The sequence below is a fragment of the Homo sapiens genome, chromosome 9 (assembly GCF_000001405.40).
Source record: "Homo sapiens chromosome 9, GRCh38.p14 Primary Assembly".
NCBI classification, from domain to species: Eukaryota; Metazoa; Chordata; class Mammalia; order Primates; family Hominidae; genus Homo; species Homo sapiens.
The window spans coordinates 100,003,109-100,024,013 of NC_000009.12; the positions used below are offsets into that span (position 1 = coordinate 100,003,109).

Sequence of the window (20,905 nt, forward strand, 5' to 3'; positions counted from 1 at the left end):
TCTTCAGCTCTAGAATTTGTTTAATTTTTAAGAAATATATAATTTCAATCTCTCTGGTAAACTTCTCATTTTGGTAACTTGCTTTCCTGATTTCATTGAATTGTTTCTCAGTATTTTCTTGAAGTTCATGGATGTTACTTTTTAAAACAATTATTCTGAATTCTTTGTCAGGCAGTTCATACATCTCCATTTCTTTGGGTCAGCTTCTGGGAGATTATTGTGCTCTTTTGGTGATGTTACGTTTATGTCTCCTTGGTTTTTCATTTCTTGTTGCCTTACATTGATGTCTGGGCATTTGAAGATGTAGAGACTTATTCTAGTCTTTGACTGGCTTTGTCTGGGAAAGCCCTTCACTAGTCAGTCAATTCAGGGATTCTAGTCCAGCTGCCTGCTATGGTCCATAGGTTGGCTTGCTCTTAAGAGTCTTCACACTGGCTGGCCTGGTGCCTGGGTCAGCAGGTGGGTGAGCTTGGTGCCTGGGTCCATGGAGTTAAGCCTGAAACTTGGGTCCACAGGAGTGGACCTGTTGTCTGGTTCTGTGGAATGGGCCTGCATCTAAGAGGGTGGGTCTGAAGCCTGGGTCCACTAGAGCTGACCTGGCACTGGGGTAGGCCTTGAGCCTGAGTCTGCAGGGGCCAGCCAGGCACTGGGATGAGCCTGGTGCCTGGGTCCACTGGGATAGGCTGAGTCTGTGGGAGTGGGCCTGGGTCAAGAGTCCACAGGGGCTGGCCTGGAGCCTGGGTCTGCAGAGATAGTCCTGGAGCTTCCGTCCATGGAGACTGGCCTAGAACCAGGGCCTACTAGGGTGAACTTGGACTCTCTGTCTACTGGAGCAAACCTAGATCTTGGGTCCTTGGAACCTGCAGCTGACCTAGTGCTGGGGCAGGTGTGGAATCACGATCTATGGCAGCTTGTCTGGAGTGTAGGATCATGGTTGCTGGCCTGGTATCTGAAGCCACTGAGGCTGGCTGAAAGCCTAGAGCTTAGGAGTCTGGCTAGAGCCTGGGTCCACTTGTGTTGGCCTGGAGGCTGAGTGTGCAGGTGCTGGCCTGGGGGTCAGGTCTGCAAAGTCTAGCCTGGGTCCTGGGGCTTTAGGGGCCAGTCTGAAACCTGGATCCACAAGTGTAGTCCTAGAACTTGGGTCCATGGAGGCTGGTCCATCACTGGAGTCTACTAGGATAAGCCTGAACCCTGGGTCTGTGAGTGCTAGCCTCATGATCAGGGCTGTGGGCAGCTGGTCTGGAGCCTGAAGCCACTGGGTTTGGCCTGGTGCTGGAATAGGTCCAGAGACTGAGTCTGCTGGGCAGGCCTCGGGCCTGCAGCTTTGGAATCCAGCCTGGGGCTTGGAGATATTGCCTGGCACCAGGATGGGACTAAATGCTCAGTTCATGGGTACCAGCCTGGAGTCTGGGGCCACAGAAGCCTTTCTGGCACTGGGTTTTACCAGGACAAGCCAAGTGTTTGGGTCTGAGGAAAAGTTCAGTGCTAACTTCCTTCTCCTTTCCCCACATGAAGGGTATCTCTCTCCATACTGTGCTGCCTGGGGTTGGGGGAGGGGTGGTGCAAGTAGCATAAAACTGTCCTTTTTAGCCTCTTCAATGCATCATTTCTTTACTACTCTCAGGTACTACTATCTCTGACCTGGTTTCCTTAGCTCTTGTGAAGGTATTTTTCTGCATGGATGTATGTTCAACTTGATGTTTCTGTGTGGAGACGAACATGGAAAGTCCTTTTCTGTCATCTTGCTGATGTCCATTGAGATTAACTTTCATAATCAACTCTTGACTAGATTACTGAACAGTCTCCTAGATTTTATTTTGACCCCCTCTAATCTATTTTCCAAATTGCAGCCAGAGTAATCTTTAAAAAACAATCTGATTATGTCATTCCCTGATTAAAACCTTTCATTGGCTCTTCATGGTTTTCAGGATAAAGTCAAAATTCCTTAACACAGCATGTAAGGACTTTCATGTGTTAGTTCTCTTGACCTCATCCCTCAGCATTCACCTTTCCATTTATATTCACCAACAGCCCTTGAACTTGTTCTTGCCAAGGTCACCTTTCTCTAAGCCCCATCTCCTTCTCACCTCGGGATAAACTTCTACAAAACTTTATACCTACCTTCGGCATCAATATCGCCAGAAATCCTGGATCAGGTACTACTCTGTTGATCTCTGTCAGAGCACTTATCCCTTAGTAAAACACAATTGCCTGTTAACCTGGTTGTCCCTTTCCTCTACTTGGTTATGAATTCTTTGAGGGCAGGGACCCAGTCTCAGTAAAAACCCTTGGTTCTTAGCACAATGTCTGTCATACAGAAGAGATAGCTAAATATTTAATGAATTGATAGCTTGAATGGTATCTTTCTGAGCATAGATAAAGTAAGAACAACTAAGATTTCTCACTACTTTATGGTTTATAACATAATCATTATTTCTCATTAGTTTTTATAACAATCCCATTAGGTAGGTGGTATCATTAACCATTTTTTATATACGAAGAAACAAGAACAGAGGAGGTAAGTGACTTTCCCAAGGCTGGACTCAAATCTAGGCTTCCTAGGTAATTTTAGGATTGGGAATCTTCTACCAAACAACCACATCTCCACTGAAATATTTAGAACTCAGTGGGGTAATTCATTCTGCCATAGGACTACAAATCATCCTCTGTGTAATTTAATCTTTTGAGATAAAAATGGCATTTAAATGAATTTTCAAAATAAAATGTCTAACTTGAATACCTGTATTGCTTAAACTTTTCGTATAAGAAACATCTACATTTTTAACCACTGTATTTAACACCTCACAAAGCTGATAAAAATTCAGTATCTGTAGTAGCTACAAGGCTTGTACATATATTAATACTATAAATATCTGAGAATTGAGTCAGAAAGCTTACCTATTCTTGGAACAGTTCATAGCTATATGCCATTAGAAACGCCTAGTAATAGCAAGATTCATAAATACTACTAATGTTCTTGCTATGTGAAGTCACGAATGAACAGCAATATTACCAATTTCCTTTACCCTGGCCTAAGGTTATAAGCTATTTTTCTCAATGTGCTTGGTAAAGACCAAACTCAATGAAGAGCTAATTTCTCACAAGACAAAAATTTTCTTTGAGAGATTGATTCCCAAGCATTAATCACTAATCATCCAAGCATTCATTATCAATTCTAATCACTTAATGTTGGTATTTCTACAAGGCTATATCATAATGTTCATAATTATACCACACTCTATAGTGAAAAAAAGCAGCAGTCACCCAAACCTCTCCCATCCAGTTAACAAAGTCTTACTGTTCCAACATAGGATTATTTAAAATATTCAAACAACTATTTTCAGTTCATTTTTGAAAAACATATCAGTAATTTTTAAAAAACAAAATGAATACTCACAATACATCTTTGAAGTCTCCAAACACATACATATGCCTAAAGCTGTCAATAGCGATTACAGGACAATCTGCTGGAGTTTTCTGTATGTGCAGAAGAGGATGTCTAAATTTGTCACAATCGGCATGTAAAAAGTTTATTGTACCTTTAAGAAAAAAGAATTTTGAGAGGTAAATTCAAATTTTCTTGAAAATATTTTTGTAAGATTGCAAGCTCACAAAAAGTGACATACTAAAAAAAAAGCACCCAACATTCTTAAGAGTAATATAGATCAGAAAAACTAAAACCTAAATATCTAACACTTAAAATAGGTAGGCTTTTAGTTCTTAGGGCACAGAGTATAACTTCTTTAGAAATCATATTGACTTAGTGCAAATTTGAAGGCTATAATGAATTTTTTACTTTCCTTAAATGGGCAATCATTTACTTTGCAGATTATCAGGTTCTAGGCAGGAAGTTCAAGTTGATATATGAGCCATTCTCATGGGACCATTTTCATTCCAGCCTATTCCAGTCATACTGGTTGATTTTTAGTCGAATTCAACCTGCAAGATAGTATGTGACTAAAATGGGCAGCTCTATAGAGTACCTTTAGTTTATTTTGTTTGACTTTCTTCCCTAACTACAGAGGAAAAGCTGGTGACACCTCAAATTCCATTAAATGCTTTGGAGAAATCCACAGACAACTACTCAACTTTCTTTCATTTAGAAATAAATGTTAATCAGACTGTGTAAGCTCTCTCAGCAACATCTCTGGGAATGTCCATTGGAAAAGGGGTCACACAAGCAATGAAGGCAAGTGCCCAGAACTAATGCTCATTCATGACCCTGCTTTTCATGCACTTTGATTTTTCTCTCCAAAATAGTAATGGTTAGAAAACAAACAAACAAAAAAACACTACCTCATATTATCTCTCTACTAATGCCTCCTTACCATCACATTTGAATGTGTTAAAATAAGTTTTTAACCCAAATATGTTTATGTGATTTGACAGAAATGGGAGAGGAGATGATGAAAGGGAAAAAAAGAAAAGAGAGAAAGAAATGATGAAAATAAACACCTTAATCTGTCTACCTTTTTCACTTATTAATTGCCGAGCTACTTCATTCTGGAATATTTCTAAACTTTCTGTATCTTCTTTCATGTGAAAGAGTATGAGAAAAGGCAGTCCTTCTTCTGTCAATTCCTGTAGAGAGAAGCATTCAATGAGAATTATCAGGCTTCTCCATTCAGTTGTAGCTATTTTCTAGGTAGGAACAATTTTGAACCCAACCCATGTAATGCAATAGTTGCAATATCCCGGGGGAAAAAAAAGGCCCAGTGGTGTGAATAAACATTAGCCTGAACAGAAGACTGAATTCACTCCCCTCCCCACCTCAAGTACCCAGACAGTCAGAGGACCCACATGCCCTGCTTTGCTGCAGAAACTGATCTGCCCCCACTGTCTGTTAGCCAGTATGGGATATGAGACTTCAGGGTTAGGCTGTTGAATTCATGACATATAGAGGTGAACTATGCTGGTTCTTTACCAAGGTGTTAATTTTAGAGTGGGGTAAACATGACTAGTATTTTCAGTCTTCACAAGTAACAGTGAAAAACAGTATATCAGCAATAAATAAATCTGATTTGCAAAATTTTTTGTATTTTTTTATATTCTAAGGTTGCAAAAACCATTACACTTACATATAAAACTTACCCAAAGCTTGAAGTGTTTTATCCAGGGTAAAAAACAAAACCTCCATTATTTAACTAATTCTCAACCAATATACAATTAACATTATTAATAAATACCTACCCCTATATATTTTTATATACCTCTTTATTTATACACACAGAAAAGCACCTTGAAAATTATAAAGTGCTATTAAAATTTTTATTGTTGTAATTGGAGAATACTACAATGGGTAGACATGATTAAATAAAATGTGATATGTAGACAGATTTAATCATTTATTCTCCCCAACAAATGCTAAGTTCTGACTCATCAGAAAAAGTCCAGAAAGGGTCTCATAACAAAATTATTTTCATCAACTATCCTTTTGAGGATCTCTCCATAAATCTAGGAACTACCTCACCAGAAAGTACAAATGTCCTTTATTTTTTAAAAAACAAACTGGGACCTATTTTACAGGATTAAAAGTTTTCTTCTGGCTCTCATCTCCATATTTAAGCCTATTTCACTTGTATATAAGATCAATTATTAAGCCTCTTGTTACATTTATTTTTTTAAAAAACTGAGATACAATTAGCATACCATAAATTTCACCATTGTTTTTTTGGAGACAGGGTCTCACTGTGTCGCCCAGGCTGGAGTACAGCCTCGACCTCCCCAGGCTCAGGTGATCCTCTCACCTCAGCCTCCCAAATAGTGAGGACTACAAACATGCATGACCATGCCCAGCTCATTTTTGTTATTTTTTGTAGAGATGGGATTTCGCCATGTTGCTCAGGTTGGTCCCAAACTCCTGGGCTCAAGCAATCTGCCTGCCTCAGCCTCCCAAAGTGCTGGAATTACAGGTATGAGGCAACACACCCAGCCCATCATTTTTAAGTGTACAATTTTGTGGTTTTAATTATATTCACAAGGTTGTGCAAACATCACCACTAATTCTAGAGCTTTTTTTTTGAGACGGAGTCTCACTCTGTAGCCCAAGCTGGAGTGCACTAGTGCAATCTTGGCTCACTGGAACCTCTGCCTCCCGTGTTCAAACGATTCTCCTGTCTCAGCCTCCTGAGTAGCTGGGACAACAAGTGCACATCACCATGCCCAGCTAATTTTTTTGTATATTTAGTGGAGATGGGGTTTCACCATGTTGGCCAGGATGGTCTCAATCTCCTGACCTCATGATCCATCCCCCTCGGCCTCCCAAAGTGCTGGGATTACAGGCATGAGCCACTGCGCCCAGCCCCAGAATATTTTTTATCACTTCAAAAAGAAACCACATACCCATTAGTAGTGATTCCCATCTCCCCTCTCCCCACCCCCTGGCATCACATTCATCTTTTAGTAAGCTGATTTTTTTCTTCCTCATCTTTTATCTCTTGGACTCACATTTTTTCTTCCCCCATCCATTAACTGATGCTGGTCTCAATGACTGTCTTTGGACTTCTCTGCTCTAGCCTGACAAGTTCATGTAGTTCAACAGTTTTGATCACTACTTCTAACTGATCGCTTATCTGTGTCTACAAGCCCAGCTCCAGTACAAAATCCAAGCCTAGGTTTCCATCTGCCTGCTTAATATCTCCATTTCAAATTCTAAACAAGTACCTTAAATACTCAAAACTAATGCCTAGTCCCCTCCTCTCTAACCTCCTTCTCCTGTTTTCCCATTTTCTTTAGTACTTCTGCTTCTCTCTTAGCACTTTTCTTTTCAGGACGTAATGCCGCTTCTCTAAAGTCATCTCTCATTCCACTCCATCCCTGTCAAAGGAAAATTCTTTTTTCTAAACTCCAAGAGCATTTTATCAATGGAAAATTCTTTTTTCTAAACTCCAAGAGCATTTTATCAGTGCCCCTCATGTGGCACGGGGCATGACTTTGTGTTACGTTATCTGTACATATGAAATATTAAACTGAAAACCCCTTGAAGACAATCTTATTTCATTTCTCTTTTCCTCACAATCAACATATATCAATAAATAAACAAATGTTGCTAAATAGGTGGTAATTCATGCTGCTTAGGCTTCCAAGTTTACTATGTCCATACAAGCATATTCTTTACCAAACAAATGTTAAAAGATTAAGGAGAAGAATATCAAGACAACCAGATTTACAGGAAACAGATCCTTCCCCACAGATTACATGATTTAATGGTTGGTTAAATGGTTAAATGGTTGCTTACAACATAATAAATCTCAAGAATTATTAGATGTGCCAACAACCACGGGGAAGGGAGATGCCGTTTCACTGTTTAAGATTTTCCAGGTCTATACCTTTAAATCTGGTTTTAAAAACTACCCCTGCAAGAACTACCACAGCAGGCAAATAGTCATGACAAATTCTTAAATTTTCCTGGGCCTCTGAGGACTAAATGAGTGAATGCAAATTTTTTTAAAAATTGTAAGTAATCCAACTAAACATACCTGAGGCCTACAGAAGTAAGAAAACCAGGGACAGGCTGGGCACGGTGGCTCACACCTGTAATCCCAGCACTTTGGGAGTCTGAGGCGGGTGGATCACCTGAGGTCAGAGTTCGAGACCAGATTGACCAACATGGTGAAACCTTGTCTCTACTAAAATTACAAATATTAGTTGGGCGTGGTGGTGGGCGCCTGTAATCCCAGCTACTCAGGAGGCTGAGGCAGGAGAATCCCTTGAACCTGGGGGGCAGAGGTTACAGTGAGCCGAGATCGCACCATTGCACTCCAGCCTGAGCGACAAGAGCGAAACTCCATCTCAAAAAAAAAAAAAAAGAGAAAAGCAAAAAAAAGAAAGCCAGGACATTCATTTTTATAAACTGTTAGCAGAAAAAGTCTAATCCACCCTCTCTTTCAAAACCAAGTTTAAGATCAAAATGGAAAAGACTAACAATTCAAATATAAAGAAATATTTTTTAAATGTTTACTTCCTTAAAGTTTGATATAAAGGACTTCAAACGGTCTGCTTTACAATTGCTTGTACTTAACTATTCTATTAATAAATTCTAAGTTAAAAAAAAACATAAGTATGAATGTGCATTAAAAAGCAGAGGGAGCTTAAATCCCAATCTCTTCTAGGCTTCTGGTACTATAAAACTATGACACACCACTGACACCTTGTGGCCAAACACTCAAATTGTAGGAGCAGTATTTTGAATTCTGTGAAATGTCTTATCTACCTTAAAATGCTATTAATGATAGGAAAGAGATGGAGGCAAGACAAGATTATGCATGCTATGTCCAATCTATATATCCAGTATTAAAAAGAAAAGAAGAGAATATAAAATTGAGTGCAGTGCACATAGAAGGGTATTATTCAATGAAAAATGAGAATTATGTATATACTAGTGAAAATGTCTTACTTTGCCTTACAATGAAAAATGGTTTGAAAGCCACTATTTGGTCCAAACATTTGAACTCCTGTACCTGAGCATCCAGTGTGTCATGGGGGGTAATGACACATAATTAAAGATAGAAAGACACCCAATCTGAGCATATTTATTCAAACCATCTCAAAAAACTACATATAAAACAACTACAATGACTCAAGATGCATCTTAACAATATGAATTACTCAGAATCCAGGGAAATACTACTTTGAGAAGCAGGTTCAAAAATAACACTGAAAAAAGCAACAGAACATTACTGAATAAAAAAATACTCTGGTCACTAAGAATGGACTTAAAATGCCAAGCTGTCATATAGAAATAAAGGTTGAGTATCTCTTATTCAAAATGCTTGGGATCAGAAGTGTTTTGGATTTTGAAATATTTGCATTATTCTTACCGCTGCAGCATCCCTAATCTAAAACTCTGAAATGCTCCAAGAGTGTCATGTAGGTGCTCAAAAAATTTTGGATTTTGGAGCATTTCAGATTTTCAAATTAGAAATACTCCCCGAAATTCTAAAAAACTGGGGAAAAGGAAGTAGAACCAAAGAATCTCAGGAACAAAAGAAACTAGAAAATTTGGTAAAGCAACTTCTTCAAACCAAAAAAAAGAGACTTTCCAAGAAAAGGCTTGTGTTAGAATTTTCACTCAAAAGTCTTCTATAATTCAAAATTCCAAAATATTTTAAAATATGGCATTGCATTAAGATATGCAATGAATTTGCATATCTATTGCAATATCTATTGCATATCTAGTGCAATAGAGCCTGATAAGTTTATGATATTTAAGCTTGCAGGCTTAAAAATATATTAATCACATTTCATGAGAAGCCATTTTTAGAACCTTGATTTGAGAAATAGCTATTATAAACAAGTAGGATGTCCCAGTGGGGTATTCTGACATGTTAAACTGGATCCTGGCAGCACTAATCCTCTTTCTATGAAACACTCAGCAAAGAGCCAATGTAAGATGATTTAGGTTTGCAATGATCTGTCCAAGCAGACACACCCAGAGAATCTCATACAAACATTCATACATTTGATTTGAAATTGCTACAAGCTTAATAAGAATTAAATATTATTTTATGGTGGAAAAGGTATACCAAAAATGTACCATGCTGACATAAAAATACTAACTTATTTTTATGTACTAAAATGCAAAGGCAACGTTTAAATCAGGTAAAAAAAAGTCTTTTAAAGAGTTTTTAAATGCTGTTGGCATAGACTTCTGCTTCCAGAAAGATGAAGTAGACACTTTTCTCTATTTCTCCCAGGAAGTTCAGCTAAAAATCCTGGACATTATATAAACAAACATAAGGCCCTGAGAAGCAAATAAAAGAAAGCAGACTGGCTAAGGACTTAAGGATCCAAGAAATAGTACTCAGTTCCTTGGGTTTTCTTTTTGCCTTATATATCCCAGTCTAAGTGTTGGAAATGGCAATGGACGCAGATCAAAAATACCCCAAGAATGCATTCTCAAGACAAAGAGGGGGCAAAGAGCATTCTGGTTTGCTCACAATGGTCAGTCCCAAAAGTTAAGTGTTGCTCTCTCTTCCCCAAGAAAGGGAGAAAGAGATAGTAAGATCTAAGAGCTGGAAGCCTCTGGAAAGATTCAGGGAATCTTGGAGAATTCACATATATTATCTCCAAATCTGAAAGCACTTAACAATATACATACACCTTAGTAACAGAAGACATCAAATCTGAAATTATACTCTTTCTTAAGAACTCCAGGTTTTGTTGTATTACAATTAGGTTAAGCTATAGTGCTAAAAATTGCATTCTGGAGTAATAATGGATGTAATCTGGACTAATCTTACTACTGGGAAAATTAGAAAAACCAGAGTAATAATAATAATAATAATAAAACACTTTTTGAAAGCATCTAAGAGTGAAAAAAAAAAAAAAAGAATTATGGGCCAAGACTGGAATAGAAGGAAACCCAGAACATTAAGCATGGCATTTTAAGCTGCTTTTCTTCTACGACCATCTGTCTTTCCGGAAAAGGCAACTGATAGTGCTCAATCCCACTGATCATCAGGGAAATATAAATTAAAACCACAATGAGACTCTACTACACATACACCAAAATAGATTAAAAATGTAAATAGCTGGTATCAAATGTGGGTAAGGACGTGGAGCAATGTGAACTTTGATATACTACTGGTAGGAATGTAAACTGCTAAAACCACTTTGGAAAAACTGGTATCCACTAAAATTGAATGTATATATGCCCTATGACTCAGCAATTCTATTCATAGGTATATATATCCAGTAGAAATCTGTGCATATATTCACCAAAGACATAGATAAAGAATGTTCATAGCAGCATTATTCACGGTAGTCAAAATCTGGAAGCAGTCTAAATGTCCACCAATAGTAGAATGGATATATTGTGTTATATTTATATAGGGAATTATATTCAGCATGAAAATGAATGAACTACAGCTTCATGCAATATGAATGAACTCCATAAATATAAAGTTGAGTGAAAGAAGCCAGACACAAAAGACATGATTCCATTTTAGGTTCAAAAACAGGAAAAGCTTCCTATAGTCCTATTGAAAATAAGTATGGTGATTATGAAGATGGTAAGTGGGGGTAATAACTGAGAAGGAAGACAAGGGGTTTGGAAATACTTTATTTCTTGACTTAGCTCAGGGATTGGCAAATTATAGCCATGGGTCAAATCTGACTTGCTGCCTGATTCTGTTAGGTCCACAAGCTAAAATTGGTCTTTAGTTGTTTTTTGTTTTTTGTTTTTCTTTTTTGGAGGGACGGGGTCTCACTCTGTCGCCCAGGCTGGAGTGCAGTGGTGGATCCTGGCTCACTGCAACCTCTGCCTCCTGGATTCAAGTGATTCTCCTGCCTCAGCCTCCCGAGTAGCTGGGATTACAGGCGCCTGCCACCACGCCTGGCTAATTTTGCATTTTTAGTAGAGACGGGGGTTTCACCATGTTAGTTAGCCAGGCTGGTCTCGAACTCCCGACCTCAGGTGACCCACCCACCTTGGCCTCCCAAAGTGCTGGGATTACAGGCGTGAGCCATGGCACAAGGCCCTGGTCTTTACATTTTTAAATAATTGGGAAAAAAATTTAATATTTCACAGCATGTGAAAATTATTTGTCCAGAAAGAGCTTTATTGAAACACAGCCACGCTCATTTGTTTACATATTGTCTAAGGTTACTTTTGTGCTACAACTGCAAAGCTGAGTAGCTGCCACAGAGATTATATGAACTGCAAAGGCTAACATACTTACTATCTGACCCTTTGTTGAAAAAAATTGTCCACCCTCTCTCTTAGTTTGGGCTGCTATATTAAAGTACCATAAACTGGGTGGCTTACAAATTAACAGAAATTCATTTCTCATCATTCTGGAGGCTGGAAATCCAAAATCAGGGTGCCAGCATGGTCAGTTCTAGTGAGAGCTGTCTTCTAGGCTGCAGACTGCCTACTTCTCATTGTATCCTCACATGGCAGAAAGAGAGCTACATAACTCTCTGAGGTCTCTTTTATGAGTTCACTAATCCCATTCATGAGGACTCCATCTCATGAATGGAGGATTCATTCCCTAATACTGTCACATTGGGGATTAGGATTTCAACATATGAATATTAGGACACACAAATATTTGGTCCATACCACTCTAAGTAGTGATTATATGGGTATGTTTACTCTGTGATAATTTTGGGGGACCAGATATTTAAACTGTGATTTATACACTTACAATTCTTTGAAGTGTATATGCATACACAAAGTTTTTAAAAACTGTACCTAATACAAAGTTTTTAAAAACTTGCATTCTTAGGCCATTGGTTTTAAAAACAAAAGACCTGGAATGAAAGATATGTCTTACATAAAGTAAAGAAAGGAGAGAGGTCCTTACAGACATAACTCTTTGTACTTGTTCCTCCAGCCTCTTAGGTTTTTAAGTTTTATTTTGGTGGGAGTTGTAAGAATTTCGATGGGCTTGATTTCAGATGCATGGGATGACTGAGGTCGGTTACCTATCACTGCTACCTGCTTTCATTATTTATAATGGAAAAGACAACATTAACTGCTTTACAAAAAACAGAAAAATCTTCTAGTGGCAAAGGATTATTCATTGTATAGAAATAATTGTAACTAAAATCTGCAAAGCATTGCTCCTAAAGCAGCAGTCCCCCACCTTTTTGGCACCAGGGACTGGTTTCATGGAAGACAATTTTTCCACTGATCAGGGTGGGGGATATGATTTCGGGATGAAACTGTTCCACCTCAGATCATCAGGCATTAGTTAGATTCTCATAAGGAGAATGCACCCTAGATCCCTCACATGCACAGTTCACAACAGGGTTCACATTCGTATGACAATCTAATGCTGCCACTGATCTGACAGGAGGCAGAGCTCAGGCCGTAATGCTCTCTCGCTGGGCAGCCCTCTTCCTAGCAGGCCGTGGACTGATACAGGTCTGCGGCCCAGGGTATGGGGACCCTTGTTCTAAAGGACATCCACCTAAACAGGGATCCTCAACCAACAGATGGGTATCAGAATCACCTGAAAGGCATTTTCAAACTCATTTTGAAGGCTGTAGTGAACTACTACTATTACTGGAAATGTAACAGAGGGGTTCTGGGATAGCAAAGGTGAAGAATCACTGGTGTATATTACAGAAACAGCTATGATATAGTTATGTTCACTATATGATTCTTACAATTCATAACTCTGTTAACATAGTAAGACAGGTGGAGGAAGCTTGTGGTTTCAGACATTTGAATTTAAAGTAACAATGCACAGTAGAAAGCCCATACCTCTCCATTTTCAAATGTTATTTCTCGGACAAGAGGAACACATTTATCTTGAATCCAATTGTAAGTCACATCAAAATTTGTCATAGCTCCCAAGTACACCATATCCGGAGCAGAATGCTATTACAAAACAGAAAAAAAAAATTAAATCTAACCTGTGCTGGCAAAAGTATATTCTTATTTTTTTTCTTTATATTTTTTAAAGCAAGGTCTCACTCTGTCACCCAGGCTGGAGTACAGTGACATGATCATGGCTCACTGCAGCCTTGACCTCCTGGGCTCAAGCAATTCTCTTACCTCAGCCTCCAGAGTAGCTGGGACTACAGGTACATGCCACCACGCCAAGCTAATTATTTTATTTTATGCAGAGATGGGGTCTTGTTATGTTGCCCAGGCTAAAAAGTACATTCTTATATCCATCCATGAACCCAGAAAATCTACTGGTAATACAAAAGAAACATAGATCATGGAACTTCCAAGAAAGAGGGCCATGGGTGGCAAAAAGCAGATAATTCTGTGATTACCAGGGAGCTAATAATCTAACCTGTGACACCCAAGCCTATTGCTTTTTCTTGGATTTAGGTCAATTAACTCTTTATCAGTATCTTCACCAAAGGCAGGAAGGCATTGTGAAAAGAATTCTCCAAATGAATTAATTTAGCTATTCCTAAGAGCTGAAAATTTTAGAAATTTCTTCTTTTAGAAGAAAATGTGGATAGTGAAAAAGCCTTGAAACATACAAGATGCTATATGGATGTAAGGCACGACTATTTCTTTTATTACCTACATATCTGTTTCTACATTAACTCAAAATCAATTATCTATGAAGTGTCTAAAATGATGATAAAAATAATAGCTAATATTAATCAGTAAACTTACTGGGTCTAGGCATGGTTGTGAACATTTTATATGTGTTGATTCATTTAATCTTCCCAACATCCCAATAAAGCAAGTACTGTTTTTATCATCCCGTTTTTACTAATTAAGAAACTGAAGCGCGGGGAAGCGAAGAAACTTTCCCAGAGTAACATACTAAGAAGGTGGCACATTTGACATTCAAACCCAGTCTGATACCACCAGAGCCCATGCTCTGAACAACCACACTACCACTGAGAGATAGGTACTGGATTCTGATAATCTAGAGATGATGATACTAAGTAAGCTACTCAAAGAAATGTACTTGCAAAAAATATAAGCAAACACCTATGTGAATTCAAAATAGAATATGAACTTTCTAAGCAAGAAATTCATTTATCTGACTGCATAAAAATTAAAAATCTCAGTGTCAAAACACTGTAAACAACATTAAAATGAAAACTATAAATTGAAAAAATATCCATAAATTTCAATTTTTTTTGGTATGTAAAAAAAATTGCAATGGCAGACGCTTGGTGAATTTGGGATAACATGTGCTACGATTTTTGCCTCTTAGTTATGGCTACCATCACCTGGTAGGGCCTAAGCAGCTACTTAAAACTTCTTACCCCACAGGTTAAAAACAACCTAGCTGCTCCTTATTATCTGGCAGGTACCAAGTAAATTTATACCCCAGAAGATTTGGGAGTTTGGCTAGTACAATACGGGTAGAAGTGACAATCACAGACAACTGGAGCATTTTAAAAATCTGGCTCCCAGACTGAATGCCAGAGAGATAGAAAAGGCCTGAGAGTCAGGAGATCCCTAATGCCAGCTCTGCTACTCTAATGCCAGCTCTGCTACTCTAATGCCAGCTCTGCTACTCTAATGCCTGTGTGACTTTAGGCTTCTGTGGTCCCACCTTCATTTTGAAGGGTTTAGATCAGCACAAGATGATGCTTCAAACTTCCTTTCAATTCTAAAGTTCTATTAGTCTATGAACATTAACACATATAAAACTACATCTTACGCATGTATTTAAATTATATCTTATCATACAACATTAAGAAATAGCAACTTACCCCTGGTGGTTTGTAGATTATGTTGTCGCCACTATATCTTTCCGGTTTTGAAACATCCCTATAGGAAGGGAGAAATAGTAATAAACCTGAATGACAGAATTTTGCAATGTAGGAATTACAGACTTGAAATATATACTTATCCATCATCTTCCCTATTACAAGACTATGCAATACCAAGAAAAGTATACATTTAAAGAAAACGTTTAATATGAGGCAGACTTTTTAAAGGAAAATTTTAGTTAGTTGTTTTTGTGTTTTGTGTAAGTTTAGATTGGGAGTTTTAGCACTAAAAGGTTGTTTTTGACCCCAGACTGTTTTCCGGCAACTAGGGATCAAGGTCATTGGTTTGGTCACATGGACTAATTAAAAAAAAACAAAAACGAAATAACCCACATCACTAAAATATAGTTCCATAAATAAGTAATTTTTTGTTTATTTGTCCATTGTTGTTTCCTGAACCTAGTACAGTATCTGGCACACAGAAGTTGCTTAATAAACATTTGTAGAGTACTACAACAAATTATTTTTGTAATCAATTTTTAGATTAATTGAACACTGATTTATCTCTAGTTTCTAACTAGAGTAGTCCAGGAGATAGAGGCAAGGGGTGCTAACCTAGATTGATAACCGTGGGAACAGAAAAAAATGTGTTCCATTAATTAATTAATTCAATAACTATTTACTATGTGCTTCCTTTGTACCAGCTATGGTCTTGGCATTGGATAAACGGGAGTGAACAAAACTATCAAAACTCTCTCTCTCATGGAGTTTACATTTTGGTGAGTAGAGACAGACTAACAAGTAGATATATTTATCTTTGGTGGTTACAAAAAAATGCTATGAAGAAAATAAGTGGAATAAGTAAAGAATGACAAATTAAATAATGGTAGTGCTACTTTAAATAAAGTTATCAGGCAAGGACTTTCTGATGAGATGACATCTGGGAGAAGCACTTCCAGATTCAGGCTCTGCTGCAGGACTGTGCTTGCAGCATTTAATGAATATGGGTTGGGCACTGTGGCTCATGCCTATAATCCCAGCACTTTTGGAGGCAGACGTGGGAGGATCACTTGAGGCCAGGAGTTCAAGACCATCCTGGGCAACATGGTGAGACCTCAATCGCTTAAAAAACAAAAAACTGATAATGCGCACAATAAAACATACAAACAAAATCTCACAAAAGCATTAAAGCAAGGACAAACAATAAAGGTCAAAAAATGGAGAGGATATATTGTGCCAGACATCCAGGCTCCATTCAAGATAGCTACTACAGTTAAGCCTAATAGTCATGAGCCAATGAAAAGAGAAATAATACTGCATGGAAGTCAAAGGATGGTTGAGATAACCTCCAATGAGGAGAGAGGGTCAAGAACAGAACCACAAAAATGATTCCATCTTGAGAAAAAGAAAAAAAAAAGGGAGATAAAGTCACAGAATTCAGACAGGTAGGGAGCAAACCAGGGGGATTCAATGTAAGTGTTGACACAGCAAAAAAAGAAAAAGGTAGTTGAACATCACACCCTTCAGAGGAATTGAAAAGGAGTAAGATGTTTAAAAGGCCACTCGATTTGGTAATTAAGAAGTCATTTTGTGACTGTGTAGAGACAAGTTTCATTAGAGCAATGGAGGTGAAAGTTAGCTTCCAAAAGGTTAAGTTTTTTACTGGTTAGAATTTAAGAAAATCAAGGTAGCCAGGCATAAACTAATCTTTGAAAAAAATAAAAAGAAAAAGAAAGGTGAAATTATAGCTTAAGAGAAGAGGCAGGTCAGGAAAGAAAGAAGCGTGTTTTCAGAAAAGGAAAGCAGTTCTTGAAAAGGGTCAGGTTGAAAACACAAGCAGGAACAACTGATGGATCAAAGCCCCAGAGGAGTTTGAAGGACACCAGTTACAAGGACATCAGTGAAGAGGTTAGCCTTAGAAAGAATTGTTCCCCTGAGACAGGGAAGATCTATAAAAAAAGGTGGTGGAGAGATGGAGATGAATGAAGACGATAAAACTCATGCTTCTTAACAAGAAAGACAGTGTGTTGTTTCACTGTGGTTACCCCACAGATTAGCATTTTGTCTGACATAGGGTAAGAGTTAGTAAATGAGTTGAATAAAAGCATGAATTAGTTAATTGTTAACTTGTCCATTTTTTCCCTCTTGCCCACATTCTGAAATAGATAATACTACAGAAAGAAAAACAGACTTTTAAAACCTTAAAAAGAATTCAGAGACAGGTATAAAGACTGTTTAGTGATTTTAAAAGGATTGAGATCATTTTTGGAAAGATCATCTTCAGGAAATGACCAAATACAACAGCAATTTAACATGGCAGCCAACCAACCCACTAACACACTTTTAAATAAGATACTTACCCAAATGCAGAAAGAAAGGCACAGTCATCATGCAAAATATTCGCTACTCGTTCAAAAACTCTATAGTTGTCCGAGTCCTTTTGCTCAAAATATCCAATGATATTTCTTTTGCTGCGCTGTAAAATAAAGTATGCAATTATTTTGCAAACATACATAGTTTTATAAACATGTTATTTCATTTACCCGTTATCTTAGTACCTAAACAAGTCCAGTCATTGTTCAAATGAAGTATGACTATAAATGCATATTTAGTTTTTAACACCTAGTCCAAAACTGTTAAAGATTACATTGGGTTGAAAACAATCTTAACTATAATAAATACAATCATAAACATTTCCTTCCAGCGTTCAAAATTCTTAAGAAATAGATAACTATTTGATCAGTGACAATCTTTTCCTAAGTAAGGGGACTAATTCTAAAATGTGTTAAAACAATGTATCAATCATAACTTGTGACTGTTGGAGAGACTCCTCCATGGCTCTCTCACACTCCTACCCATCTTACTGGGTACACCAAAAAATGCAAGACCCTGACTATCCTTTATCCAGGCCATTTCTCAGAGTTGTGCTTGTAGCGAGCAACACGGAAATACGAGGTAATGCCTCTAGCCAGGACAAATAGCAGGGTTACTGCTTGCTCTGAAATAGTGAGTTCCCCAAGCCCAGTGTCCCTTTCCTGTGACATAACCCAGTGCATGTGCAGGTATCCATCTGGGGAGCCCTCTGTATTGCCTCCATAGGATTTGGAGGGCAAGGAAACAAATGCAAACATGCTCACACTACTTGCTGTGATGTGAGCAATAAAGTCCTTTGTCTCTGACCCAGCAGTCTTGTGTCTTCTAAAAGAATCCATGAAATGGTAATTGGTTAGCTTAGCTTGCAAGTAGGGTAAAGTCAAATCTCAAACCTGACAGTGATGATTGGTGATTGTGATAAAGCCCAAACTCAATTGTTTTTGCTTTTGTTGTTTGTTATCTTTAAAACACTACCTAGTGTACAAAGAAAGGGGTGTGCTAAACTTATTATTAAGAAGAGGCTATTTAAGAGGACATTAAAACTCATAAAAAGAGCTCATACAAAAGTAATTAGAGCAGACACCCTGAAGCTCTCCACAAGAAAAATACAGAAGCTCTGGTTGTATATACTTGACTTTTAACTTCCATTTCTTTATAATTGAGGCTTTCCTTTGTGCTCAATTAATTCAAATTAGTACAGCTTTACTGCATGCTATATCTTTTATCCAGAAGTTCAGTATAACATAAGCATTTGCCTTGAGATTAATTCAAAAAAATTCAACTCATTAAGTATACGTATGTCAAATCCACTGCAATAGACTATAGGAGAATGTCCAGATTTTTTGTTTGCATTAGAATTTGTTTACATTAATCAGGGAATGTTTGTTTAATCTAGCAAAAGTTACAACTTACATCAAGAGTGGTGATTTCTGCTAAGTCCCGAATTTCTTGAATGGGGTCACTTTTTTGTTGCCTGATGTAATCTGCCAATGCTTTCACTGATCGCTGACCCCTGTATTCTCTCTTCATCATCATCCCATTACGAAACAATTTGAGGGTTGGGTATTTGCTTATCCTGTATCTCTGGGCTATGTCAGCTAAAAGAATGAAAAAAAATTATTTACCCTCATATGTAGTCAGGGCAAGCCTGTTTGCCTAATGGTCAAAAATCTTACAATTGCTTAGTGAGAACTTTTTGGTTCAAGTCATTGTTTTTCAGTGAGAGAGAAAAAAATAATAATAATCAGGACTTGAGTTTACATTATTTAAGAGACCAGGTTCTGGACTGGGTTTAAATCCTAATTTGCGACTTACTGGCCATGTGAACTGGTAAACTGCATAAACTCTCCATGCCTTAGTTCTCATCTATTATATAAGGATAATCATTTCTACCACATAAGATTGTCTTAAGTATCAAATTAAATAATACAACAGACGCCACAGTAAGCATGGCACATGAATAATGACTACAAAAAACAGCAATAATGCCTTATGGGGTTCGACAGACATTAAAATACCTGACAGCAGCATATAAGCTGGGGAGGGGAGGTAAGTTATGTTAAATATTCTAAAGTCTTTGCATGGTCCAGGAAGAGGCAAAAGTACTTACAATATTTTGTTTAGTCAAGGTTGTACTTTATTCTCTCTAGCATAGGCAATCAAAAATACTAAAAATATATTAGAGGTTAAAATGGAATATGAGCTCTCAGAAGGGGGGCTGGAGGAAAAGATTATATAACACTTTGGCAAACGAAGTAACTAAGATTATATAGCACTTTGGCAAATTCCATGTGGATTTATAAAGTAGAAATCATGATTACTAAAATTCTTTAAACAGAAGACAAATATGAATAAACAACGGGAACAACTGGTCATACTGAGATTGAGAAGAATGCTTTATTCATCAAATCACAGAAATCTGAAGACATTTTAATTTATACATAATTAACATAGACAATAATCTGTCTGCTTTAGGAGCTGGTACTTCCTTGAAGCAGATGCATAATAGATACATATCAACTATATGTCCCTTTTCAACCTGATAAATTACAAGGAGAGACTATGTCTTTGGGGTGCTATAAAGATGATGGGTCCTATTACCTGAGCAAGGATTTAATGAGATTAAATTGGTACTACAAATTGAGAAATGAGAGAGTGGTACCATAAACAAGTAGAAGGCTTTTAAATAAAATAGAGACACCTGTAATAAAGCACAAGCCACAAAGACTTGAGCTTATCCTACTTACAATGATAAATAACCTGAGAAATCATAAAAAAAAAAAAAATAAGAAACTTTGATTTCTTTTTTTTTTTTTTGAAGACAGGGTCTTGCTCTGTCACCCAGGCTGGAGTACAGTGGCACGATCACAGCTCACCACGGCCTTAACTTCCTAGACGTAAGCAATTCTCCCACTTCAGCCTCCAGAGTAGCTGGGACAACAGGTGTGTGCCACCATGCCTGGCTAATCTTAAATTTTTTTAATTTTTAATTATTTTTTGTAGAGATGAGGTCTCACTATGTTGCCCAGGTCAGTCTTGAACTCCTGAGCTCAAGCAATCCTCCCGCCTCAGCCTCCCAAAGCTGGGATTACAGTTGTGAGCCACTGTGCCTAGCCATAAAATGAATTTTTGCATGATGTATAAACAAAAAGTTTTAAAAAATTAGATCAAATAGTTCTAATGGCCTACACTACAGTGTTGTAGTCTTGAGAATGGAAAATGCCTTTTTAAAAGTTACTATTTTGGCCAGGCCCAGGGGCTCATGCCTGTAATCCCAGAAGTTTGGGAGAATGAGGCGGGTGGATCACTTGAGGTCAGGAGTTTGAGACCAGCCTGGCCAACATGGCAAGACCTTGTCTCTACTAAAAATACAAAAATTAACCAG

At 37.7% G+C, this 20,905-nt stretch overlaps 1 protein-coding gene and 1 long non-coding RNA gene across 2 annotated transcripts in view; one reads left to right on the forward strand and one right to left on the reverse strand.

Moving 5' to 3' along the window:
- ERP44 (endoplasmic reticulum protein 44) overlaps positions 1-20,905 on the reverse strand; it is a 119,816-nt gene that overhangs the window by 23,924 nt on the left and 74,987 nt on the right. Inside the window, exons 5-10 of the mRNA NM_015051.3 lie at positions 18,934-19,118; positions 17,508-17,623; positions 15,148-15,205; positions 13,214-13,330; positions 4,470-4,581; positions 3,398-3,539 (exon numbers count right to left, since the gene is read on the reverse strand). Of these exons, the coding sequence (NP_055866.1) occupies positions 3,398-3,539; positions 4,470-4,581; positions 13,214-13,330; positions 15,148-15,205; positions 17,508-17,623; positions 18,934-19,118 (730 nt within the window). The remainder of the gene's footprint in view (positions 1-3,397; positions 3,540-4,469; positions 4,582-13,213; positions 13,331-15,147; positions 15,206-17,507; positions 17,624-18,933; positions 19,119-20,905) is intronic.
- The window catches only part of LOC105376176 (uncharacterized), a 33,752-nt gene continuing 26,342 nt past the window's right edge, over positions 13,496-20,905 (forward strand). The window contains exons 1-2 of the long non-coding RNA XR_001746547.2: positions 13,496-13,536; positions 15,852-15,926. This is a non-coding gene — a long non-coding RNA (uncharacterized LOC105376176). The remainder of the gene's footprint in view (positions 13,537-15,851; positions 15,927-20,905) is intronic.